Raw genomic sequence first — 26,639 nt, forward strand, 5'->3', positions numbered from 1 at the left:
ATCTCATGGGTTTTGTGAGAATCAAATGAGATCCATGTAGAGAAGCCTTGTAGTCTATATAGCCCTTCGCAAATGTTAGCTCTTCTTAGTCATTATCACTCCATTTTCCCCAATCTGATACCATTATCCACACACTTTACCCAGCCACACTTACCCAACAGCACACTGTTTGAGTTTGAGTGCTATCTGGTGAATACTCATCTTCATTTTGCTAAACCCTGGATGCCATGTGCTAGCCAACAATATCCTATTGTTCTGGTTCTTAAACAAAACAAAATCTCAAAGACTTCTTCCTCTTACCTAGTTTTACCCAATGATTGGCTTTGAAGCAGTCCTTATTCAGTAATAAGAGGTCACCATGCCATGGCCAAGAATAGGGCAAATCTTCCTCCAATTCAGTTGAACTCCCTGGCCGTCTAGCAAACAACATATCTCATAACACATCCTTTGAGCAGGTGAACAACTCTGAACCTTCTTTGAAGGAACAGGATTCTGGGAAAGGAATAAAAGAAATGCATGCAGTGTGTATTGAGAATAAAATCTATTAGCTAAGAAATAAAAAATGAAAATGCTACAACATGATCAGTTTTGATGGACTAGACAACTCTCTGTAGAGTAGCCACAGGGCTGAACCCTCAAATATTCCCAGAAAGTATAGACATTGCTGTAGAACCAGCCTGATAATGCAGCAGTGCAGAACTTAAGAATGATATTTCTTTCTAGAAAGCAGACCAATTGATATCTTCATCCTGTTATTGATCAGAATCCACGTCAGCATTCAGGTGCTCTCTGGCTACAAGTTTCCTTAGCTCTTGCAGGCGCTGCTCATTGAAGATTTCTCTTAACACAGGTAATGCTACCAGTCTCATCTGGCACCTTTTTCATGCAATGACAACTATCCAGGAGTTGCTGCCTTTCCAGATATCCCCTGCGAGACCAATGAGGGATTTTATTCCATGACTCTTTGAAGAGGTTCAAACATGGATCAAACATGAAGTAGTATGTACCCCAGCCTTAGAAATTTAATCTTTTATGACTGGGAGAAAGAACCCAAGTCTCTGTGCCTTCACAGTCTTGAATATCTCTGCTTGTTTCACTTACGTTTACCTCACTCAAGATTCTTAGTGTCATCGACATGACTGGTTAAGAACTCAGGACTTTTCAACAAAGTTTTCTGCCAGTGCCCCACAAATCATGACTGTGGTCTCCCAAATTCTTTGATTCTCCACTAGGTTCCCTTTCTCCTCCATTCAAAGCCCCAAATAACATTTACCCTATATATTTAGTCCCGTTTTTTGTAGAAATGCTTCTTTGCTTGTGTTCCCCCTACCTTTTCATATCATACCTACATCGTTAACTGAGGCTCAGTCATAACATCAACAACAGCATGAAACATCCCACCTTCTGTCTTCATTTTGCTATAAACTGGAGGCAAAGGAAATGCTGTCACTCAGGGAGTATATCAATGAAGGGAAAGACTCTCACAAGACAGGCACTGAGGCAGGAGTCACTAGCACACAGTGTATAAGTGAAATCTAAATATAAAAAAGCAAGCACTTGGGATACATCCCTTGCACACACCTCCTCTTTTATAACCAGTAGAGTGAAGTTGGTTGCTGAAGTCACAGAATCAATAGTCTATTTCCCACAGACGGCTGATGATAGCAGAACAAGCCCTGGCTAAGTCCCCCACCCTTTTCTTGAGTAGCTCATTGTTATGAGCCACGGACCCACCATCACCAGGTCACATGTTCTGTACTCTTTCCTAAAAACAGTGACAAAATATGCTGAGCCATCCATATTTCCTCAGTTACATTGAGAGGCAGGAGATATAACAATTAAGCAGTCTCTGGAGCCAGAGCAACCTGAGCTCAAACCATGCCTTAGCTTGCTTGTTGTGGGACCTAGGCAAAGTTACTGAAACTTCTTTAGACATGTTTATCAATAAAATGGGTACAGTTGACTGGCTCCAAGATTTCTTGACCTCTTGATGTATTTGCCCTGCATAATTCCTAAGACTGTGATTATAATGGATTTTACTCTTATGATTAGGTTTTCACATAGCACAGTTGACTTTAATACAGGGAGATTATCTGGGTAGGCCTTGCCTAAACACAAGAGCCATTTAAAAGCAGAGTTCTCCCCAGCTGGTCAAAAGAGAGAATCTCTGGTCAGAGATTCACAGCATAAGAAGGTTTCAATGTGCCATCACTGGCTCTGAGATGTAGAAACCCACATGTAAGGACCAAAAAGAAGCCCTTAGGAGCTAAGAGCTACAGCCCTCCAGCCAATAGCCAGCAAAGAAACAAGGACCTCGGTCCTACAACCACAGCCAACCAAATTCTGCCAACAAGAAAAATGAGCTTGGAAGCTGATTCTTCTCCCAAAGATTCCAGATAAGAGTACAACACCTTGATTTCAGCCTTGTGAGATCCTAAGCAAAGAACCCACTCATGTCCACCCAAACTTCTGACCTACAGAACTGTGAGCTAACAAATGAGTGTTGTAAGCCACTAAGTTTGTGGAAATTTGTTACACAGCAATAGAAAACTAATACAATGAGGACACAGCAAGTGCTTAATAAATGTTAGCTTTTATTATTACTAACTCATTGGGATCAGCTACACAGTTGTAAGAAGGCTAAAGTAAAAATTATTTATGCAAGGCTGGCAGTGCAACATAGCATTCAGATCCAGGGTCCATTTGGTCTAATATGGCTGATATTAAGTGTTTCTCAAGGGGAGAGACATTATTGGCATTCAGTGGGGGGAGGGGTTCATCCTGTAGAACTGCCTTGGACATGGCAGTCCATTTATCATCTCTGGCTTCTCTTCCCCTAGCAGTAGTCATTGCAACAACTGAAAATGCCACTGTACATTTCCAAAAATGCTCCTCCACAAGGGTTGAGAACTTTGAGAACTACTTTAAGGGAAATTTCATAAGAAAGCATGCGTGTCTTAAATGCTGCCATAAAGCTACCTCAATAACTACAATGCTACTCAAATTACCTGACCCTAAGAATCGCCAGTGGCACTTGTTTAAATATAACGATTCCCAAGTTCTTTCCCTGGAGTCCCATTCCATAGGGCTGGGGTGGAGCCCCAGGAATCTATACTCTTACTCAAAGACCCCAGGTTAATCTTTTGTTTATGTAAGTTTGCCAAACACTGAGTTAGAAATATACTCAGCCGTACATGCATTTAGCAAAAGTTCACCACAACGGAACAATGACACACCAAAACTCTTTGAAACTGTGCCTTCTACAGAGCTGTAAATCTCCTTTTGGACCATTCCATTACACAAGGTGTCCTCTTGGTCACACAGTGATTGCAAATGGGACTCTAGAGTCATGGAAATGGGTATACTCTTCTCAAACTTTCCATCTTTACCAGAATTACTTCTTAAAGTGATATGCTTCATGGTGTAAACTAGCACTTATTAATTTTTTCTAAATATTTATCATATTTCATATACTTTTATTTTGGAGATGGAGTTTCGCTCTTGTTGCCCAGGCTGGAGCGCAATGGCAGATCTCGGATCACCGCAACATCCATCTCCCGGGTTCAAGCGATTCTCTGGCCTCAGCCTCCTGAGCAGCTGGGATTACAGGCATGCGCCACCACGCCCGGCTAATTTTGTATTTTTAGTAGAAAAGGGGTTCTCCATGTTGGCCAGGCTGGTCTCCAACTCCCGACCTCAGGTGATGCGCCCGCCTCGGCCTCCCAAAGTGTTGGCATTACAGGCATGAGCCACCGCGCCCGGCCCATATACTTTTAATACATGTGGAATTAATAAAAACGTCCATGCCTCCAATTCCGTGGCTATTTTACCGTCTTCCTTTTTCGGACAAGTCCCTCAAAGGTAGCGCTCTTGGCTCCTTCCTTTGCTTATCCCCTAACCCTGTCCTCCTGAGGTGCCCCCTGGATTTCCTCCAACCCCGGCAGGGTCTGCCTTTCCGGGATGATACAACGACCTGCCCTGCATGCCATATCCCAGGCGCGTGGGCACCAAAGTGTGGAAAAACCGATGAATGACGTTTTCTGTTTCCGATACTCTGCCTGCCAGAATCCCCTGCCGCACCGCCCCACCACGAAGCACATGGAACCCACGGACTACACGAGGACAGAGGTCTGTTCTCCCTTTACCTCTCCCATTTCTTTAACTATGCTTCTCTCGGCTGGCATGCCCTTTCCTCATCTCACTCCACACACGAACAGGTTTAGCAAATAATATGCACGCTGCTGGGACGGGCCCAAGCATTTCCCTCCCTTGATAGGGCGGAACTAAAATGCAAGCCCCACAGTTGTCAGCAAAGGACTTCCCTGTTACCATGGTAAAGCCGCTGCGCCTTTATTGTGGTTGAGGAGTACTTGCATCAACCTAAGAGAAAATTAATAAGAAGGAAGTCTGCAGGCTGAAACCCTTCAAATTAGCCTGGACTCGCCTGCATCTGGCTCGGAACAGAGTTAATCTCAGGAGTGAGAATATAGCCCTCCGGTGGACGCAACTCGCGCCTGCGGCTAACAGAATGTCTCCAGGGGAGGGGCTCTGCGTCCGTTCCGCCCAGGCCCTTCCGGCTCACGCGCCGTACGGAAGCGTGCTCAGCGCTGGGCTTGTGCTCCGTACGGAAGTGTGCTTTGGCGCACCGGAAGCCGACTCAACAGAGCTATGGCGGGTTTGACTGTGAGAGACCCAGCGGTGGATCGTTCTCTACGTTCTGTGTTCGGTGAGAGGAATTCGTTGTAGTCAAGCTTCGGGGAGGGACTCCCCTCTGCACCTTCTATCTCATGAATCGCTACCGGAGCCGCTGACGGTTCGGACGTGCAGTTCTCCCTGCTTATCCTGTAGGGCGTCCAACCTGGTGGACTCATGAGCAAAGAGATATTCCCATTCTGCCGAGGTCTCGTAGGCTTTCCGCAATATCAGTGGGGAAGTTAGACTAGCGTTCAGCTTCTGTGCGTTTCTCCTTTCATGAGCTTCAATTATTCTCTAGAGGAGAAGGCTCACGGTAACAGCTCCTCACTGTCCCGTACTACTTCTCATCCTCTGCCCCAGAATACAGACTATATGCTGAGGGTATAGATCCTAGTGTCCACTTACTGTCCTCTCCTAAGGACTTTCATCCTTTGCTTTTTATCTGTAACATTTTAGTGCATCAATAGTGGTAGCGGCCACCTGGTGTCCTGAGATGGCTTGTAAGTGAATGAATGAATGAACTATTAAGATCTCCTCAGAGGAATTTTAAAAAGGATCGAAACGATTCTGAATTATCTTTTTGGCTGAAATAAGTTGTTTTTAAAAATACGTGTGATTATTTTAGAGTACCATTTGAAAGGGACATGACAAAGTAGTTCAGAATACTTTTTAAACATCTTTCACTACATTCATCGTCATTCTCCCTTAAATGTTGTATGTGTGGAAATACATAGGAACCTGTTTTAAAAATTATATTAAATAACATTGATATTTTTTGTAGTCACTGATGAGACTTGCAGATCTTTAGGTAAATACCAGTGCCAAAGTATTTATTTGCACCAAAGTTAAGGAAAATCTAACACGTGTCAGATCAGTCTGAGAACTAACATTTGAGAGTACCTACACATTTTGTATTTAGTTTCAGTGGTATATTTCCTTTGTTAAGAGGTCTGAAGAAATACAATGGAATTGGGATTGGAGAACACTATTTTGAGTCTTATATTTGATGATATAAGTTTACTTTCTCACTAAAGATCTATGTTATAAACTCAGAATTTTAATGTTACCTATTTTCTTCCTTAGTGGGGAACATTCCTTATGAAGCTACTGAAGAGCAGTTGAAGGACATCTTTTCTGAGGTTGGACCTGTTGTTAGTTTCAGGTGAGATCCCCTTTTCCTTCATGGTGGGAGCTTCTTAAAAATCACCACAGATTTGGCTCTTAGTAATAATGGCAGGTTTTCTTTACTGGTGACTTTTCACATACATTTTGTTCTTGTAACAGCTTTATTGAGATATAATTGATACACTATACAATTGACATTTATTCTTACCTAAAATATGTTTTTTTCGTTAAAAATGTTTTTTAGGCAGGGCATAGTGACTCAAGCCTGTAATCCCAGCACTTTGGGAGGCCGAGGCAGGCGGATCACCTGGGGTCAGGAGTTCGAGACCAGCCTGACCAATGTGGTGAAACCTTGTCTCTACTAAAAATACAAAAATTAGCCGCCGTGGTGGCCCATGCCTGTAGTCCCAGCTACTCAGGAGGCTGAGACAGGAGAATTGCTTGAACCCGGGAGGCAGAGATAGCAGTGAGCCAAGATCATGCCACTGCACTCCAGCCTGGGCAACAGAGCAAGACTCCATCTCAGGAAAAAAAAAAAAAAAGTTTTAAAAAATATTTCTGTGAGGCTGTCAGAGATATAAGGTTATTTATGTTACAGTGGGCCCAATTAAAGCATGGCAATGTTAGCAGGAACCCTGTATGTGTGTAACATTTGTTCCTGACACTTGGTTCTGCTCTCCAGATTGGTATACGATAGAGAGACAGGAAAGCCAAAGGGTTATGGCTTCTGTGAATACCAAGACCAAGAGACAGCACTTAGTGCCATGCGGAACCTGAATGGGCGCGAATTCAGTGGGAGAGCACTTCGAGTGGACAATGCTGCCAGTGAAAAGAACAAAGAAGAGCTGAAGAGTGAGTACAAATCCAACTTGGATGCAGTATGAGTTAGTAAAGATGTAACAATGAAGATTTTCCATTTCTGATATGTTTTAGAATATGCTGAAATGGTTAGCCACGCAGCTTGTTTATTACTTGACTGACCTGATGTGCCTGAGTTAGGCAAGTATTATATATATCTTTTTAAAAACTTTTTATAAATTTTTTTTCAAGTAATTGTCTGAAATTTCTATACCCTTGCTCTGGATGGAGCAGGGCAAGGCCTCAAACCGTTTCAAAACTGTTCTGGCAAGCACTGTAGGGATGCATAGGGTCACTGCAGACCTAAGCATGCTGGAGGCTTGCTAGTAAGTGTATATCTTTAAGAAACAGATAAAGTTGACATTAGAAATTCTTCAGTTGCTCCAGCCTGGGCGACAGAGTGAGACTCTGTCTCAAAAAAAAAAAAAAAAAAAAGAATTTCCATTGCTAAGGAGTTATTTCCAGTTAAAGATGAATTCAAATTCATCAAGCCATTAGTAGTACTAACTGTGGCATTAGTCATTCCTGTCACTCTTTTCAGGAATTTTTGAAGTTAGCGTATTTTTCTCTTTTAACCTTTTGTTTCTGAAATGACTTGTTAAAAGAAGTCAATGTGCCTAGTTCTCTAACTTAGGTTAACATTGTCCTTCCATGTGATCATGATCCCCAGCTTTCCTCTGAGAACAGAAAATACACTCTCACTTTCCTCCACAGAAACAAGAGGCTTTCACATCATTTATTTCTCAGCTCTGGAGAATCTAAAATTATCAGCTGGTTCTTACAGCAGCCCTGAAAAGTAGATATTTGAAATGATTTAGCTTTTTGTTTTGCCTCCCTAACTTTCTTGTACTTTCTTCTTGATTAGGCCTTGGCACTGGTGCCCCTGTCATTGAGTCACCTTATGGAGAGACCATCAGTCCTGAGGATGCCCCTGAGTCCATTAGCAAAGCAGTTGCCAGCCTTCCACCAGAGCAGATGTTTGAGCTGATGAAACAAATGAAGGTGGGAGGAGGCATTAGGTTATGAATAAAGCAAATCACATCAGGTTTTCAAGGAGTTACTTGAATTAGTTCCCTGAGCTCAAATAGAAATTGTCTGTAGACCACCATTTCTTGCACCTTCAATATTCTGTATGTACACAGTATATTTTACATTTTGTACAAAGAGCTTTCTATTTTTGTACACAAACACAGCTATCCAAACAATCCAGCTGGAGTTTTGTGGCCCATAGATGTCAGATGTAGATATTAAAATTTGGCTTTTTTCCTAAATGATAATATCACAGTATTTGAAATGCCTCTTTCTTCTCTTGCCTGCCATGACCAAGGTTTTTTTGTGCCATGCAAAAACTAATGATAAAGAGCCTCTTGAATATTACATTTCTCAGAGGGGAATGGCTCTAAATCACTATCAGTTTCTAAGTCATAAGTATTAAACCTGAATCTGCTTATCTTCTCAGCTCTGTGTCCAGAATAGTCCCCAGGAGGCACGGAACATGTTACTTCAGAACCCTCAACTGGCTTATGCTTTGCTGCAAGCACAGGTAGTGATGAGAATTGTGGATCCGGAAATTGCCCTGGTGAGTGCTTCTGGTTCTTTTATGGAAATGGTCGGGTAAACCTTGAATGGGATAGGAACTACCTGATTGCTTTGTTAAACAGACAGCTCATAGGTTTGTCTTTTCACTTTTTAGAAAATTCTGCATCGCCAGACAAATATCCCAACGCTGATTGCAGGCAACCCTCAGCCAGTCCATGGTGCTGGGCCTGGCTCAGGATCCAATGTGTCAATGAACCAGCAGAATCCTCAGGCCCCTCAGGCCCAGTCTTTGGTAGGGCTTTATCCCTTAACATTTTTTTGTATCTGTCTTAGAATGTCATTTTCTTTTTAGGAGAATATATTGAAAGAAGAATGGTCAGGAACCAGAGATGATAATTTCAATTTCCAGGCATAAAAGCAATTTCCAGGTTGCAGAGCACATGACATCTGAATGAATATAGATTCGATTCCAAGTTTGTAAAACAAAGAGATCCTTCCCGTATGCCCTTTTCTTATAAGCTAACTTTGTGTGTATGTGCATGCCTGGCACTGTGGTTGGCACTTCGTTATTCCATATGCATTATCTCATTTAATCCTCAAAGCAATTGTATGAGGTTGGCACTCTTATTATCTCCATTCTTACTGATGAAAAAAGTAAAGCTTGCTTTCAAAGCATGACACAAAACCTTAAAGCCATAAAAAATTGATACATTTGAAAACTAAAAAATTTCTATATAAAGAAAAAAATAAGTATCAAAGACATGACAAATTGAGAAAAAGTATTTACCACACATGTGATGGAAAACAGACTAATAAAGAGCCCATAGTCATTCACAAGAATGTTTATTGCCTTAGAGTGAAAAATTGGAAATGTCCTAAATGTACGTCAGTGGAAGAATGGAGAAAATGTGTGGTACATTCATCCAGTGAAATACTGTACAACAGTTAAATAAACTACACGTATCAACATGAATGACTTTGAAAAACATAATTCCATACAGCAGTTAAGATGAACTAGGATACATAATATCAACACAACTCCAAAACAGTGACATACGGACATGAAACTAAGTGAATATGGATGCATTCCCGAAATGTAGGATATATGTTTCTGCATAAATCCCCAAAATATGTGGAATGAGTTGCAAAATAATATATTGAGTATGTAATGATTCATATAAAATTTTGAAACATTAAGAAGACGTCTTAGTGGTCATCAAAGGAGAAGAGAGCACAGGATGCAATTGGGGAAGACCGTACAGGCCATTGGTTTATTTTATTTACTTATTTATTTCCTAAGCTGGGTGGCTATTTTATTTTCTATATGATTTGTATATCTGTAATTTTTCATAATAAATTTTAAAAGGCCTCCTATAAATTAGTAAGAAAATTTCCAATAACCCAGTAGAAAAATGGGAAATAGACATAAATATTTCACAAAAGGAGAAATATAAATATATAAAAATTTATTCAACTTCAAAATAAGATAATGTAATAAATTATCATTTATATATGTAATGTTATAAGATAATGTAAATAGAAACTACAATAAGCTACCATTTTTCATCTCTCAGGTTGGCAGAGGTACAGGGCAGGGACCAGCAAACATTTTTCTGTAAATGATCAGACAGTAAATATTTTTGGCTTTGCAAGTCACAGGATCTGCCACAGCTACTCTGCCATGGTAGTATGAAATCAGCCATAGGCAATAAGTGAACAAGTGTGTGTGGTTGTGTTCCGTTAAAAGTTTGTTTATAAAACCAGGCAGTGAGCCCGATTTGGCCCATGGGTCATAGTTTGCCAACCCCTGCTCTAAATAAATAAATACATTTTCAGAGATAGAAAAAAAAAGCTAAGGCCCAGAGAGGTTAGCTGGTCCAAAAATTGACACAATTATAAGTGGCAGATCTATTTCTGAACCTGGTTTTATCTGACCTCACAGCCAGTTTTCTCTTAACTACTTTCCTATACAGCTCTTCCTTTTCTTTTGTAGAGTTTTGTGTTCCTTAAACGTATATGTGATTTTTTTTATATAACTTGGCTTTTATTCTTTATTTATTGAGCTGTTTCTAATTCAAGGGACTACTCAGTTTTTTGGGGAATGCACAGATGAAAAGATGACATTCTCTTTTTCTCAACGAGTTTTAATGTAGCATTTAAAAAAATATATTTCACATTCCCCCAAAACCAGAATTATATCTAAGGACAGGAGTGAGAAAAGATTGGTTAAATTAAAAAAAAAATTTAATTTTAAAAATGTGGACTACCAGCAGTTGTTTTTTTTAAAAGAGTCCCAGTCTCCTTTTATGTTTCTTGGGTTTAGGGCTTTTTTTTTTTTTTTTTTTTACTCTTATTGGCAGCCCCAATCATGAAGTTAACAGTAGGTGTTATGTGCTGCCTTGCCACACAGATAAGACTTGTCAATCTCTACATTGAGAATATGTTCCATCTTAACCGTGTTCCATATAACCAGGCTCATGACGTATATTGCTTCTGTGGAGTTTAAAGTGTGTGACAAATCTAATGCTGCATAAGACATGCCATACAAAAAGGATGTTTAGTAGTGTATTTGGGGCTGTTCATTTGAAGAGGACTTTTAAGGTCGTAGACTTAGTATATTGAGTATCCACAGAGGCATATACATACTCTGTTTTTTTTGCTTGGTCAGGGTGGAATGCATGTCAATGGCGCACCTCCTCTGATGCAAGCTTCTATGCAGGGTGGAGTTCCAGCACCAGGGCAAATGCCAGCTGCTGTCACAGGACCTGGCCCTGGTTCCTTAGCTCCTGGAGGTAAGTTTCATTTAGTCTTCACCATTTCAGTACTTGCTAAAGTTTTGTCATAGCCACTGTTGCAGTGCAGCCAAATATGATAATGGGATCCTTAGGTAAAATTAATACACAGCTAGAAAGTATATATCTTAGGTGGAGGAAATAGTAGATTTCTTACGTTAAATCCTGTATGTCTAATTATAAGAACAGGGAAAGGGACAGTAAAGTGAAAGAGCATAGTAAAACTTCCAAGTTAACAAGGGGGAAAATGGAATGAGTGGAAACAAAATCAAGCCAGCAAAAATAGAGAAGAGGAAAAAAGTAAGAGACAGTGTAAAATAAGTAATAATAAATGTAGAGTAAGATGGAAGGAATAAAAACTAATGTAGTTGTTACTCTGCTAAATATGAATGAACTGTCAGATTAGGTTCAAAAGCTCATGAAGAAAACAGACAAAAAAATACAAGGTCACATTTGTTATAGCATATTAAACTGACATAAAATTGTATTTTAACAAACATAATCAGAACAAACAACAAAAGGGAAAAAGAGAAATTTAAAAGCTATGTACATTTATTGAAAATGTATAGATCGGCAATTAATAAGAGTATTGCTCATATACTTGTAACTGTTCCTTGTTCAACAATTGTAACTAAGAAGATTGAGTGAAATAATGATTCCCCATATGAAACATCTGTATGAACACATGATGTATTACCAATATTTAAAGTTTTTTTATGTAACAAACTTGGTTTTTGTTAATTTATCTAATCTAGGGTAGGTTGAGTACAACACTACTCATGGAGAATGATTTAATTCTAAATTGTTCTGTTCTGTAGAGAATCCAGTCTGCAGAGCTAAGTTGATGAGGAATGGAAGAAGAGATTTTTTGAAGAAATTTCTGCAAACTCAGGAATTTTTTGTATCTACTTTAGGATTGTTATGTATCTACTTTATCCTAATAGAGTTATACTTGTATTTAAATTATCTTTCATGACAGGAGGTCCATGGGTAAGTGACATTGTTTTCCTGTATTATAGAAGAGCTTCCTGCCAAGAGTTTGGTAACCAATGAAATGAATTATTCTTATTGAACTCACTATTCTGTCACTGAAACATAAAGTACAAATTGTAAATATACTAACAAACCCCATCTTCTCTCTCATTGCATTGTTGAATATCTTCCTTTGTAGGTTTCTGCTTGTGGAGCAGAATGAGGAAATTTGTAAACTCAGCCACTGTTCTAATTTTTCTTTTCCGCTGTTCTAATTGGTGTTTTTTCTTGTCTGCCCTTTATCTTCTAGGAGGAATGCAGGCTCAGGTTGGAATGCCAGGAAGTGGACCAGTGTCCATGGAACGGGGGCAAGGTAAATAAATATTAATGTCTGACTAATGTTAATTGGTCATGGAAGTGTTCCACATCCACAGTATCTAATATGGCAGCCACTAACCACCCATGGCTATTTCAATATTAAGTTAATTAAAATTAAGTAAAATTTAAAACTCAGTTCCTCAGTCACAATAGCCACATTCCAAGTGCTCAGTGGCCACAGGTGACTAGTGGATACCATACAGGACATTACAGATATAGAACATTTCTATCATCGTAAAAAGATCTATTGGACAGTGCTGGTCTAGACTTTCCACCTGGTGATTCAGAGTCCAGCTCTACAAGAATTGATAATGAAGCAAGTGGATCGTTTGTTTCCTGATTCCTAGTCTAATAATTCCACTGACATGTTCTCTCTCCCTGTATGGATATCTGTTGACTGAGTAAGGAATTTTAATAATGAGCATGTAAATATGTGGCTGGGTATGTAGAAGACTAGATTTAAACCCCAGAGAAAACTGGGAGGGAATCATAGGTCTGTAACGCCTACTTAATGAACATATGTTGTACCGTGGCTGTACTGCTATATACAACAGTAGCTGCTGCTCCAAAATCTCCATGTTGTTTCTTCATGTTACTGGAGTTTGAAGGACAAGAAAGTGCAGTGGTTCAGTTGGAAACAATGTTAGGAGGAGAGATCGTAAGAAAAGAGAAGGAACTGAGTGCATACTATATGCCAGGCACTTTAATTTTCATAAATAATCTTGTGAGTTAGGTGGCAGCACCTCAGTTTTACAGGCAAAGAGTTGGAAGCTCAGAATAAGTTACTTTCTCAAGGGGACAAGGTAAGTAAATATTAATGTATGAGTAATGTGGACTGGATTTGGTGCTCTTATTTTCTCTTCCAACTAGTAAGTGGCAGAGCTAAGATTCAGAAGTCTTTGACTCCAGAATCTGTCCTCTTTCTGTCACTCCACACTGCCTCTGTTAACTTCCAAGCATATTCTTCAGTGTCTTCTACTCTTATTCCTTGGGAATAAAATGATGGGAAAGACTGCTTTGGACAAGCATAGAGAAGCTTAAGGTTTTTTCTTTTGTAGCATATGGTTTATAAGTGGAACCCATTTAAAAAGCAAAATATTGGCCAGGCGCAGTGGCTCATGCCTGTAATCCCAGCACTTTGGGAGGCTGAGGTGGGTGGATTGCTTGAGCTCAGAGGTTTGAAACTAGCCTAGACAACATGGCAAAACCCCGTCTCTATAAAAAATACAAAAACTAGTTGGGCAATGGTGGTGTGCACTTGTGGTCCCAGCTACTTGGGAGGCCGAAGTGGAAGGATCACTTGAGCCCAACAGGTTGAGACTGCAGTGAGCCATAATCGGGCACCACTGCACTCCAGCCTGGGCAACAGAGCAAGACCCTGTCTCAAAGAATATATATATATACACACACACACACATATATATACACACATACATACATAAACATTAATATACAAGCCTGTGGTTTTTACACTGGGGTTGGTTGCTGAAGTGACAGAATTAACTTTTTCTTGTTAGAAGTCTGACAGCAGGACAAACTCCCTGGCCAAATATCTCATATTTTCTCTAAGCATCCAATGCTTTTGTGCTATTGTACATCCCTCTATCCCCACCGCACCACTGTCAATAGATCATATATGTTCCCCAGAGTATTTCTGCAGTAATGAGAAGGTATTAGGGTTTCAGTCATACTTCTGCCTGTCATGGGGCCAGCCCTCAATCCATCAGGTTTTAGCTGTTTAACGCATACTTGCACAAGACATCTTCCTATTATAGTTATCTTCACCTTTTTGTCAGAAATTGGCAAAGGGAAGTGACTCATGTTTTGAGGGTATTTCCAGGATGTCTTCATGCAGAGACTAAGTGAGATGAGCTTTCTTTTATAGTTTCCTTCAGTACCCAGCAGAGGAAGCAAGAGTCTTTTCGTGTGTGCCTAGTTTGTCTTACTTTTCCTGAAATCCATGCTGCTTTTAATGCTGAAAGGAGATGGAGATGTTTGAGAAGATACTTCTTGCTTCCCTGCCATGTTTGTTTAGTGTCGGTTCCCATGTCATCTCATTAGTCTTTGTTTGCTGTTGTCATGATGTTTATTATCAAAGACTTGCTGTGGCAGAGTATTTCTTGTGGAGTGATATTCTCTTTCATCATGTAAAGTTCATTCACTGCATTTCCCCATCTGATACATTTTTGACAGCAGAAATTTTTGTGCTTTAAAATGTGACAAAAATAGAATTGCCGTACTTCAGTTATGGCCGTTTCAGAATGAATCTTGCCTTCCAGATTCAGTGCAGTTTCTTTTATGTTTTGCTTCTGAAACTACATTTATGTTCTTTGCATAACTAGAAGATTCAAAACTATCCTTTTTATATATTTTTTTCCTAATGATTTCATAAGGAGACCTAACGGAAAACTAGTAGCAGAGGTGAAAATCGAAAATGTCAGGTTATTCCCACCTAGATCAAACCAGTGCCCCCATGGGATTCCCTTTCAAAAGCTATCTGGTCAAAATGGAACTATTTCAGAGACCCAAAGGAGCTAGTGTAGTTTAGGGAGATTTTGTAGCCTGGAGCAAGCCGATGAACTCTTGGCTTTTTAACTTATATATGTAAATCTCAATCTCCATGTGTGTGTGTTTCTGCGTGTGTATGCAAGCTATTTTAAGTGTCTGCTCTTTCTCCTTTTGAACTTACTGCTTACCTAGGAACCCTACAGCACTCGCCCGTGGGACCCGCCGGGCCTGCATCAATTGAGCGAGTTCAAGGTACCCATTGTATCTGTGGGTTTCCTTTTGCTTGTGGTGTTCAGGGTGGGACGTTGAGAGGAAAAGAGCTGCGTGGCAGTCATCCTCGCGTTCAGAACCCAAAAGGGTAGTGTTTTTGGGTTTTTGTTTTTTTAATTTTTTCCTGTTGAGGCCACAAGCCTAAGATTGACCTCTTCACACAGGGCAGAGAACATGGATGATATGGGCATCTGTCCGAGGCTGTACTCCCTCCCTACTGGTGTCAGGAGGCTTGGATGGAATAGCAGTCTGTAAGGAGACAGCGGGTTCTTGCAGAGCCATGGCAGTGTTCACATATGCCAAGACTCTACCTCTGTTTTGTGACTCTGGTCCTTGAACTAAGATTGATTAGAAGGAAAACCAGGAGCATAAGTTTCTCCAGGTCGCAGTGCTAGTCCTTGGCAGGTTGCTCCCCAGTTTGCTCTTTATATAATTCCATCCATACCTCTGACATGGCACAGATTCTGCCTACACCCTGCTTCTGTTCTTGAGCTGCAAGAGGATTCTGCTGTGGTGAGGTTTCACCCACTCTAAGGTGTCTGAATTATGTTGTCAGTGGTATATAGAGTCATTTCTTGTTTGCTTATGTGTCTTTCACAGCAGTAACTCCCCGTTTGTTTCCCTGTCAGTGCCGATGCAAGACCCCAGAGCAGCTATGCAGCGGGGATCCTTGCCTGCGAATGTCCCAACCCCTCGAGGCTTGTTAGGAGATGCTCCGAATGATCCACGGGGAGGCACTTTACTTTCTGTAACTGGAGAGGTAGAGCCTAGGTAAGCACTAACATAGAAGGAAACAGTTGAAGAAATCAGAATTGTCCCTTCTTCCCTGAGAACAAAATCTTTCTGTACCAGTTGTACCTGTTTGCCTACTTCAAAAGGTAGATCAATATTCATGGCCACTGTCCAAGGGTAAGCACTTCTCCTAAGGCAGAACTATGTACTTGAGTATGTCATTTTGAGCTATTATATTTTTAGAAATTGGAAATTTTAGTATACATACTTGAACAGGGAAATTTATAGTAGTGGAAATATTAATAATAGCAATAATAGGCCGGGTGCAGTGGCTGACGCCTATAATCCCAGTACTTTGGGAGGCCAAGGTGGGTGGATCACTTGAGGTCAGGAGTTCGAGACCTGCCTGGCCTACATGGTGAAATCCCATCTCTACTAAAAATAGAAAAATTAGCCGGGCGTGGTGGCGGGCGCCTATAATTACAGCTACTGGGGAGGCTGAGGCAGGAGAATCGCTTGAACCCAGGAGGTGGAGGTTGCAGTGAGCCGAGGTCATGCCACTGCACTCCAGCCTGGGCAACAAGAGTGAAACTCCATTTCAAAAGTAAATAAATAAATAAAATAATGATAGTAATAATAATTGACATTAATGGGGATCATGCCTCTGACTCTGCTCTGAGTACTTTACTTAGATCATCTTATTAAATCCACAAGATCCTGTGAGATGGATACCATTATTAGTCCCATTTTACACGTGAAACTGATGTGTGGAAAAGTTAAATAATGTGTCCAATATCACACAGCTAATAAGTGATAGAGCCTAGATTTGAACCCATACAGTCTGAATCCAGAGCTCATGTTCTTATGCATTGTTCTGCAAACTCATACATATAATGAATATTCGTTGATTCCTCCCTAATTATGAACCAAATAACGAAATTCTAGAATACATGGATTTATATCTCTGTAGCTTTTCTTCCATCTATTTGGTGTTATTTTCTTGTTAGTATTCATAGACTACATCAGCTCTTTGTTGGATGTTTACTTACTGATCTGGTTGGTACTTTGTTGTTGTTTTGTTCTATTTTAAAATACAACGTTTTTCTCCATCTCCAGAGGTTACTTGGGACCACCTCATCAGGGTCCACCCATGCACCATGTCCCTGGCCATGAGAGCCGAGGACCACCCCCACATGAACTGAGGGGAGGGCCATTACCCGAGCCCAGACCTCTAATGGCAGAACCAAGAGGACCCATGCTAGATCAGAGGGGTCCACCCTTGGATGGCAGAGGTAAGGGGAGATCACATTGCAAATGCCATAATGAACTCAACTGTCTTAGGCTCTAATCTGGGATAAAGAATGCTGGAACAGTAGGTTTGCAAGCATCTTTAAGGTTTATCCACAAATCTGAGAAACTGGGGAGGAGACAATAGTCTCATATGTTAATAGCTGAGGGGACAAATGTGACTAGAAGAGATTTCTATCTTTCTTGGATTGTTCATCATTCTTGCAGTACATGCAAGTAGCTACATAATGGTTTTGTTACATTTTTCTTTATAGGTGGAAGGGATCCCCGAGGAATAGATGCACGAGGGATGGAGGCCCGAGCCATGGAGGCAAGAGGGTTAGATGCCAGAGGATTAGAGGCCCGTGCAATGGAGGCCCGTGCGATGGAAGCTCGTGCAATGGAGGCCCGAGCGATGGAGGCCCGTGCAATGGAAGTCCGAGGGATGGAGGCCAGAGGCATGGATACCAGAGGCCCAGTGCCTGGCCCCAGAGGACCTATACCTAGTGGAATGCAGGGTCCCAGTCCAATTAACATGGGGGCGGTTGTCCCCCAGGGATCCAGACAGGTATGTGTAACACTGACTTCTGGCATCCAAGTGAAATCTTGATCTATTCAGGAATTGATTATTGAGCCTAATTATTACTGCCTTCTGACTTGGGCTGTTTCTTAGCTTGTTAGAAAGGGAAGACTTGGATCTCCCTGTAGCTTCTCTGTCCCTTAGGGTGGTGATTTTCTGGCTATCAGGATTGTAGTTCAAAAAAAAACAACCTTATCCCACAATAAATAGCTATTCATTTGGAGCAGAGCCCCTGAAAATTTAGGGGTTAGAAAGTAGTCTTGATTGGGGTACAAACCAACATCATGTACACGGTTTTTTCCAAGATATACTTGCCCGGATCTCATCCGAGGTATAACTCAGAATCTCTTATTAGTAGGATCTGAGCATGGATAGTTTGAAAAACTTCCCCCAAATGATTCTAATGTGAACCCTGACTGGGAACCACTGGGTTAGAGTATATGAAGAGCTGTTAGTGGCCATTTAGATAATCTTAGGTTTAGAGAGACCTGTGTTAATTTATTGTCATCACATAGCCTAAGTGAACAGTGGAATGTGAAAGGCAGTTTATTAATAATCACCTTAAAAGGTGTGGAACCGAAGTCTTGTCTCCTCTCTTTTATTTGGATCTCTCTGCCTGTGTGTACATGCTCCCTCTTCATCTCGACTTGGTTGTGGAGAGGTGGTATGTGTGTTTCTTCCGTGAGTTTTTATATGCTGGCACCTTCATTTCCCTCTAACTGCTCCACCTTCCTTTTCCCCCCTTCCTCTGCGTACTTCTCTCTTCTTTTTTTATGTGTCTTCCTCCCCATGTCTGTGTGTATGAGAGAGAGAAAGATAATGGCAGAGCTGGAATGGAATACATCAATCATCTAATTCCCTCAGTTTATAGATTTGGAAATTAAGGCCCAAGAATTCAGGTGACTTGACCAAATTCACATGACTAAAAAGTGGCAGAGCAAGGAACAGAAGCCACTACTTTTTCCACTTTACTACTCTGTCCTGTTATCTGCACATTTGTGTGTGTGTATATGTGTGGATATGTGTCTACCCCCTCCTCTGTAATATGAAATACAAATAGAGGGTTTTTTTGCTATGTGTAGAATAAAACTGTTCTCTATTGTGTTTGAAGTGTTTGTGGGCCTTGATTTTTATTGTACTCTCTATGGTCAGTAGCCTAGTAACAGAAATGGTTTTTATGCATTCATTCTGTCACTCAGCAAATATTTATTGAGCACCTACTATGTACCAAACATAGATCTAGGTACGGGGGATACTGCAGTGTGAACAGAACAAAGCCCCTTCCCCCATGGGCTTACATTCTAGTTGGGAAGACAGATAACAAACAAATAACTACATAATGCGCTTACATAATTTTACTGGTAGTTCTATGATGCAAGACATTGCAAGTAAGGGTTGGAAGAACATTTCTGGATAATATTTTGCTCCTTTCTCTCTGCTGGTACTTGAACTTATTACCCTAATACTAGGTTTATACCATTTTTATTAGTAGATTCGATAAAGCCAATTAGATCTGAGGCAAGAGAAAATACAAATTTTATCTTCAAACCTTTAAAAAAATTTTAAATTAATATATTAACTTATAAATATATATATTCGTTCATCTATAAAAGATATATGTATTAAGAACTTCAAGCCAGGCATGGTGACATGCACCTGTAGTGCCAGCACTCTGGAGGCTGGGGCAGGAAGACCATTTAAGTCTAGGAACTTGAGGCTGTGGTGCATTCTGATCGCACCTGTGACTAGCCACTGCACTCCAGCCTGGGCAGCATATTAGACTCCCATCTTTAAAAAAAAAAAAAAAGCCAGGGTAGAATCCTGTAGTCCCAGCTACTCTGGAGGCTAAGGCAGGAGGATCAGTAGAGCCCAGGAGTTGGAGGCCCGCCTACACAAGATAGTGAGACCACATCTTAAACTAAAAGGAACCTTGCTTCCTCTCCTATGCTTGTCTCCCCTGTGGCCCTCTAGGTCCTGTAGATAATCACTTTTATTAGATTTTTCATGTTACTTTCTGGAAAACATGAATATATATTATTTTTCCCCTTTCACTGTTCTATACCTTTTTTTTTTTTAACTTAACAACATGTCCTTAATTCATACTTTTAAATTAGATTTTAAAATTAACTCTAGTCCACTTAGTTAGAAACTTGTGGGCAAAAGGCTTATTATTACTAGGGTGATTATATAATTTATCATCTAAAGGAGAACATGAAAGAAAGTGCTGTTACTTTACTTGGAGGCAAAAACATAAACTGGGACTATCTTAGGGAAACCAAGATGTATGGTCACTTTTGCTAGTACTTGTCTGCCTAGAACAAGCACACCTAGAAACTTAAAATGGCCGTTATTGAGTGGTTAGATCACAATTACAGTACCTCAGATTAAAGCTTCAAAAAGATTATACTCAATTCCGAATTGTGCTGCTATAAACTCATGTGACCAAACACCACCTGTTCCCCAATAACCTATGGAAATAAAAAATTTTAAAAAAAAAGATTATACTCATAGGTGTTTCAGACCCATAATAGCTCGTTAATGTTCAGACTGGTCTCTGGAAACTTGTCTCTGGTTTCAGTATTGATAATGAACAGAACAGTGATAATATTCTAGCAGTCTATACAAATCTGTACTAATGTTTCATCTATCCATTGTCTTTGGGAAATGAGTTAATGCATGTAAGTGAATGTTCCAGATAATAGAACTATTCTACCAAGTTTTTTAACTTTTTTAATAAAAAATTATAAAAAGTATTTGATATTTCCTTTCTTGAACAGGATACAAAAAAATAGTTTAATCAGTTTTGACTACTCAAGGTCATCATTGAATAGATTCATTATTGTCTATACCGTAATATAAAACATAGTTATCTCCTGTTTGGTTTCTGGTCTCCTTCACTGTCAGGCCGTCACCTGGCTCTTCATATTACTGAAGTGGTATCTGCTCCTAACAGTTATTTATCCGTATTTCTTTTATGTTTTGCTGCTTCTAATCTGCTGGGTAAGCAGGTAACAAGTTTGTTAACAATATGTGTTTATTAAGAGAGTACCTAAGCTCTGGGTGAATGCCTGAGTGTGAACATAATGCTTGTATAGGGACATTCTAACAGTTAGATTTGGTACTCAAGAGGTCTTTTCCTTGGGTTCTGGTAGTCTTGCAAAGGGTTGAACTCATTGAAGATCTTAAGTACCAGTAAGTATGATATCACTGTACTTGGTTTTTTCACTCCAGTCAGTCATATTTTTTGGTCTACATTTAGCAGAAAGCATCTGCCATATGTTCTCTATGGAAAGCTATAAACAGCAAATGTTGGGCTAATAGCAGTCTTTTTCCTGGAGGCCTTCCCATTGCCTTTCTGCCTCTCTGACATTATGAACATCTCTGCCTCACTTGTGGGATAGGGCCCTTTGGGACAAACTACCTGTATCTGATTGAACTAGGGTAGGGGGTGGCCCTGTGAATGTAACTTCCCCAGTGGACCAGCATACATTTTCTCTAGACTCTGTTGGCTTTCATTTGTATTTCCAGTGAGCACTAGTTTCCAGGGTGTTCTCAGTTTTCACTGTGCTTATTTGGCTGAATTTTGATTAATTCAGTGGTATCCAGTTGTGCTGTGTAATATTTGTTGATGATGCTGGAGGTGTTGTAAGCAAGTATGTCGAACTTGCTAGTTGATCTCTGGCTAAACCCTGCCTTCTGCTATTGCTAACAGTAGAAAATGATCTTCAGAGTCATTGATTTGCTTTTTTTACTCATATCTGTATAGAGATCATAATTTGTCACATTATTACTGAATTCAGGTTACCTATACATTAAAAATGCCAAAAATCTCTCTTTTCTCTTTGTACACATAGGTCCCAGTCATGCAGGGAACAGGAATGCAAGGAGCAAGTATACAGGGTGGAAGCCAGCCTGGCGGCTTTAGTCCCGGGCAGAACCAAGTCACTCCACAGGATCATGAGAAGGTAAGCAACACTGTCTGACTGCCTCCTTATGCACAATTCTAGCCTTTTTGATTCCTCTTTTCACAGTTACCATGTGACGATCCTGGGTCTTCAAAGTCCCTTTGGAGGTGATGTTTATTCTAACTTAGAACTCTTTTATGATCTTGTTACCTGAAAATTTGTGAGTCTGGTCCTGAAGTTCCTAATGGATGTGAAGTTCTTAAGTGGATGTAAATGGCAGCTTATTTTATATTTCACACTCATCTGCCAATAGCAGGTTTTTCTTGTTCAGGCCAGATTGACCTGAAAATCCACACCCTTTTTCCTTCCCTTTCTACTTTATCCCTAAAAACAATAGTAGATTCCCCATGATTATATCTTTCTGTTTTTATATTTGACCATTGTGGGGAGCTTATGTCTGATGGAAAGGCTAAAATTTGTGAAAAAGAGAGACTTTCAAAACAGGATTAAAACTTGAAGGATTTCCAGGGCTCACAGATACCATCTTAGTCTCCAGGAACTTTGAGTTCATGAAGTTGTCTGTTTTGAATCGTCTAATCTTAGGTATTTTAATTTATACTTGTTCTTTTCATTGTACCTTTTCTCACCAGTTTTTTTTTATTTTTTATTTTTTTTGGAGGGGGGCTGTTGGTTTTTTTCTGTGTGAAATGTTCTTCCTTTTTCCATTTTGCTTCATATCCCACTACAGTAGCTTTTTGGACAGAAGCTGGTGGTGGGTTTTTTGTTTTGTTTTGTATTTTTTAGCTGCCATCATTAAAACTCACTACCTTTTTTTTTTCCTCTGCACAGGCTGCTTTGATTATGCAGGTTCTACAACTGACTGCAGACCAGATTGCCATGTTGCCTCCTGAGCAAAGGCAGAGTATCCTGATTTTAAAGGAACAAATACAGAAATCCACTGGAGCACCTTGATAGGTGAGCAAACTTAATCCCCATCTGAGTAGGACTAGCTCCTTGTCTATTCTGGGTATATACTTTTAACCTTAACCAACAAGATTGTTCTCTCAGCGGCCCTCAATCCACTCAGCTAGACTCTTCTTTACCCTTCAGTAGGTCAGCTCCTGTAGGGATAGAGTAAGGCTATACAATGTTTGTTCAGTTGTTGAATTGCTTATAATCTTTCCTAATGACAAAGGTAATGTATGATCAGTTTAACAAAAGTAATCATATACAGAAATGTAGAAGGTGAAAGGTAAAAAGCCCTGTTTCCTCAATCTCATTCCCCAGACAAAACCTCTAAATATAGTTTGGTGTGTATCCTTCTACAATCAATTGTATTATTTTATTCCAAACTGTCCTGTCAAAATGGAAAAATACAAAGCATTTCAATAAAATGTGTAAATATTTTGTTTCTTGTATTTATTTTATAGGGAATATTTTGATGTTGAACTATAGTAGCACATAATTTAAGGTAGTAAATGTCCGTCATCACCATCAGTTTCTATATATTTTGGAGATCGCTGTACCCTGCTACCCTTATTTTTCTTGCTCATCATTTAGGCAGAAAGAATCCAGGGGCCAAGCACAGTGGCTGAGCCCTGTAATCTCAGCTTTGGCAGGCTGAGGTGGAAGGATTACTTGAGACCAGGAGTTCAAGACCAGCCTAAGCAACATAGTGAGACCCCATCTTTACAAAAATTTTTTAAAAAATTAGCCAGGCATGGTGAGATGCGCCTATAGTTCCAGCTACTTGTGAGGCCGAGGTGGGAGGACTGGTTGAGTCCAGGAGGTCAGGGCTGCAGTAAGCCATGATTATGCCACTGCACTCTAGCCTGGGTCACAGAGTGAGACTCTGTGTCAAAAAAAAAAAAAAAAAAGGATCCAGGTAACCTGCTTCATAAATAATCATGTGACAACTTGATTACACATACATGTATCAGTGTTTCTTTTTTAAAAAAAATTTCCCCAGCATTTTGTATTTTATAAACAGTTCTTTTTTCTAAAAACAGTTTAAAATTCATGTTGCCCCACTATCAGGTAGGACAGCACAATTTAAATTTCTACTTTTTACCCCATCCATATTATAATTCCTATTCTTATGTTATATAATAGTGAACTCATTTAACTATTAATAATTACCACTCTTACAAAATATATCATTTTAATCCATACTTGTGATGTCTTTAAACATTTAAACTGCGACTATGCATCATATATGTATTTAGACCTTAAATGAATTAATGAGAAGCTATCATAGATAGAAGGCTCAGTAGACTTTTGGTACCTTAACGTTTTATTCCACAAACCCCACATATTCTTTTTTTTTAGTAAAAGTATAGACTACCTATTACATTCAGAGGAATAAATAAAAATTATTTCTTTTACTAATTTACTTAAGCCAGAGAAGGCATTCCCTACAATGTGAGAAAATTACTCCTTACTGTTTCTGGATAGTAGAGGTAGAAATGTTTCTGAAATTTCTTTCATTATAGTTTTGCTTATAGGATGTTTAATTTAAGGCCTTGCATATTAACCACAAGGCAAAGTTTTTGTCTATTTTTTTACCTTTTATTTTTAAATAATCATAGACTCAAGGAAAGTTGGAAAAATAGTACAAGGAGTCTCATGTACCCTTCACCCAGTGTAGTGCAAAACCAAGAAATTGACATTGGCACATTACTGTTAACTTGACTGCAAACTCAGTTTTCACCATTTTAAAAAAACTATCATGATTTGTGTATATGTATGTGTGGTTCTATGCAATTTTATGTGGGCAAGATTTTATTGTGTGTCTACTGGTGTTTGTGCATACCATGGCTAAAGTGTTGGGTTTTCCTCCATCCTATACCTAGCTAGTTGTGATCCATCTCTGCCATCATGGACAGGCTTCTATACTGTTGTCATTAGAGATGAATGGTTCTCAAACAAGGGCAGTTTTGCCCCCTAGGTGACATTGTCTTGAGACGTTTTTGGTCATCACAACTTTAGGGAGTATGGCATGCTACTGGCATTCAGTGGGTAGAGGCCAGAGATACTGCTAAACATCCCATAATGCACAGGATGGTCCCCCTCACCCACTTCCCAATAGCAACTAGTACTCCAGCCCAAAATGTCAGTAGTGCTGAGGTTGAGAAACCCTGCTGCAAGGGCTGATTGCTTTGAGGAGTCAGGAGGCAGGAGACAGATACTTTGCAAATCTGTCCTGGTGATTTGATTATATGCCTGTCCTCCCTCCCCTAGCCTTTTTATTTTTTTTCCTGAAGTTTTTCCGGAAGAGAGCTTTGTCTTCACTTCTAATGGCTTTGTCCTAACTTCTTCTTACAGGTTTTCAAAAATACCTGGCAAGAAATCTGGAAATTCTATAATTTTGTTGAAATATTGAAAAAAGATGACCTGCATCCTAACCCTTGAATGACTCAAATCAGTGCCAGGTGGAGGACTCCCATCACCTTCTCTCAGAACAAAATCACTTCATTTTATTGTCTTAGTTTGTATATTTTCTGTGACTTGAAATAAACTTTGAACACAATTTTAGTACACTGCAAATTGATACACATGACCTTTTTGCTTTTAAAAAGCTTAACACTAAGGGTGAAACCTTAGATGTGTTTTCTACCCTTACTGCAGTATTGTACTTTAACATATTGCCATAGTTTTGTTTTTAAGTTAACCACTTATTCTTCTTGATGATATTTGAGAATTTCTCAGAAGCAATGTTTTCTGGAACTTGGTTTTTGTTTAGTTTGCTTCCAGTAAGAATTATTATAAGGCTTTGCCCTCTGAAAATATTCTAGCACTTCGGAGTCTTCTAGGAGAAAATATCACATGCTTAGAGCTATAAAATGGTCAGAAGGCTAACAGAGCAAAGAGCCTAGCACAGCTGTGTGTTTAGTTTAGAAAAATCCAAATATCAAAATGCATTTGTTTCAATAGCAGGTCTGAACATGTATAATTCAGAGTTAAGACAAAAATTGTTTTAGCACTGGTTTGAGTGTGTCAGCAACACAAGAGACTGTTGACATTTACTTGTGTGTTCTTAAACTTATCAGTCTAGGCAGTCAACTTTGAAAGTTTAAAAAGCCACTGATTTTTCACATGCTCAAGATGAAATAAAAACAGAAATCAAATGAACAAAATACATTTCATCCTATCTTCCAGGCAGTCCCTAACCTGCAGCCCTACCCTGTAACTACGTTTATTCTGGGAACTTACAACACAGAAAACCCTAAAACTTGTACATTCTTCTCATTTTAAGTGGACCAAATGTAGAGCACAGTCAGATTGCTCATTAGGTCTGCTCCTGCCTGCTTCCTTGCGGATAGGTATGAACATAATTAGTGCCATTAGCTCTAATCTATGGGTCTTATTGCCTAGTATTTCTCTCTCTCGCCGCGCCGCCGCCTCCTCCTCTCCCCCCACCCCAACCCCATCTCTCTCGTAGTGGCATTAAGGAGGAACATGGTTTCTCTCTATCAGGCCAACCTCAAGAGGTTAAGAGTTGCCTTAATAATCAGTAAAGTTCTACTGGAACTACTTTTGAGCCAATTTATATTCTTGGAATTCTATCCCCTGGGTTAGGATTATGGTCAGGTGAATTAAAAGCCTGGCATAGGCTTAGAGAATGTAATAGCATATTGCTTACATGTCAAGCAAAAGAATGCAAAGATAATCAACTTTTTGAGTGACAATGAAATTGAGGGATTTTCTACTCATATAAACATTTATAAGAAATTTGTTGATTAAGGTATTTCATATTACAACTTTGCAAGAAAAACTTGCTCAAAGCAGGTGAGGAGCTTTCTGTGTATCCTGCTCATCCCCAGTTCAACTTGGATGTTGGCTATGCATAGGATTTATTATATTCATTACCATGAATATAATCACGAATTTATGCCTACTCCCATAAATATTCAAGCCTTGGGATATTGATTTTGGCAGCCATCATATCTTGAAGTGAGTGTGTCAATATATTTAGACATGGAGACCAAGAGTGATGCC

The 26,639-nt window shown here is 39.7% G+C and overlaps 1 protein-coding gene and 1 non-coding gene across 5 annotated transcripts, besides 5 other annotated features; one reads left to right on the top strand and one right to left on the bottom strand.

Annotated features, from left to right (window-relative positions):
• Nucleotides 4,315–4,374: an enhancer, noted in NCBI's record as "active region_29801". NCBI's record gives its function as "activates an Ori minimal core promoter by ATAC-STARR-seq in GM12878 lymphoblastoid cells {active_cell/tissue: GM12878}" and the evidence as "EXISTENCE:reporter gene assay evidence [ECO:0000049][PMID:35858748]".
• Nucleotides 4,385–4,434: an enhancer, noted in NCBI's record as "active region_29802". NCBI's record gives its function as "activates an Ori minimal core promoter by ATAC-STARR-seq in GM12878 lymphoblastoid cells {active_cell/tissue: GM12878}" and the evidence as "EXISTENCE:reporter gene assay evidence [ECO:0000049][PMID:35858748]".
• Nucleotides 4,643–25,772, top strand: CSTF2 (cleavage stimulation factor subunit 2). Of its 4 annotated transcripts, NM_001306206.2 has the most exons (15): nucleotides 4,643–4,726; nucleotides 5,779–5,857; nucleotides 6,503–6,672; nucleotides 7,544–7,680; nucleotides 8,138–8,257; nucleotides 8,372–8,509; nucleotides 10,886–11,009; nucleotides 12,292–12,354; nucleotides 15,060–15,119; nucleotides 15,767–15,908; nucleotides 16,986–17,161; nucleotides 17,432–17,724; nucleotides 21,591–21,701; nucleotides 22,491–22,616; nucleotides 24,966–25,772. In NM_001306206.2, the coding sequence occupies exons 1-14, from the start codon at nucleotides 4,669–4,671 to the stop codon at nucleotides 22,611–22,613; spliced, it is 1,794 nt and encodes a 597-aa protein (NP_001293135.1). In that variant the 5' UTR covers nucleotides 4,643–4,668; the 3' UTR covers nucleotides 22,614–22,616; nucleotides 24,966–25,772. The 4 variants fall into 4 exon arrangements, with proteins under 4 accessions (NP_001293135.1, NP_001316.1, NP_001293138.1 ...); NM_001325.3 differs by lacking the exon at nucleotides 15,060–15,119; NM_001306209.2 differs by lacking the exon at nucleotides 15,060–15,119 and having other exon boundaries at nucleotides 10,937–11,009.
• Nucleotides 4,715–4,874: an enhancer, noted in NCBI's record as "active region_29803". NCBI's record gives its function as "activates an Ori minimal core promoter by ATAC-STARR-seq in GM12878 lymphoblastoid cells {active_cell/tissue: GM12878}" and the evidence as "EXISTENCE:reporter gene assay evidence [ECO:0000049][PMID:35858748]".
• On the bottom strand, nucleotides 6,872–7,004 carry LOC124900498 (small nucleolar RNA SNORA9). Its single transcript, XR_007068429.1, has one exon. It is a non-coding gene; the product is annotated as a small nucleolar RNA SNORA9 (small nucleolar RNA).
• Nucleotides 14,072–14,181: an enhancer, noted in NCBI's record as "active region_29804". NCBI's record gives its function as "activates an Ori minimal core promoter by ATAC-STARR-seq in GM12878 lymphoblastoid cells {active_cell/tissue: GM12878}" and the evidence as "EXISTENCE:reporter gene assay evidence [ECO:0000049][PMID:35858748]".
• Nucleotides 14,192–14,311: an enhancer, noted in NCBI's record as "active region_29805". NCBI's record gives its function as "activates an Ori minimal core promoter by ATAC-STARR-seq in GM12878 lymphoblastoid cells {active_cell/tissue: GM12878}" and the evidence as "EXISTENCE:reporter gene assay evidence [ECO:0000049][PMID:35858748]".

The sequence above is a fragment of the Homo sapiens genome, chromosome X, assembly GCF_000001405.40.
Source record: "Homo sapiens chromosome X, GRCh38.p14 Primary Assembly".
Classification (NCBI taxonomy): domain Eukaryota; kingdom Metazoa; phylum Chordata; class Mammalia; order Primates; family Hominidae; genus Homo; species Homo sapiens.

Bases quoted from the DNA above. Each gene is read 5' to 3' on its own strand.
- CSTF2 (NM_001306206.2), top strand. From the start codon at position 4,669: ATGGCGGGTTTGACTGTGAGAGACCCAGCGGTGGATCGTTCTCTACGT. The intron at 6,673-7,543 runs GTGAGTACAAAT...CTTCTTGATTAG, and splicing joins GAACAAAGAAGAGCTGAAGA to GCCTTGGCACTGGTGCCCCT. The intron at 12,355-15,059 runs GTAAATAAATAT...CTGCTTACCTAG, and splicing joins GTCCATGGAACGGGGGCAAG to GAACCCTACAGCACTCGCCC.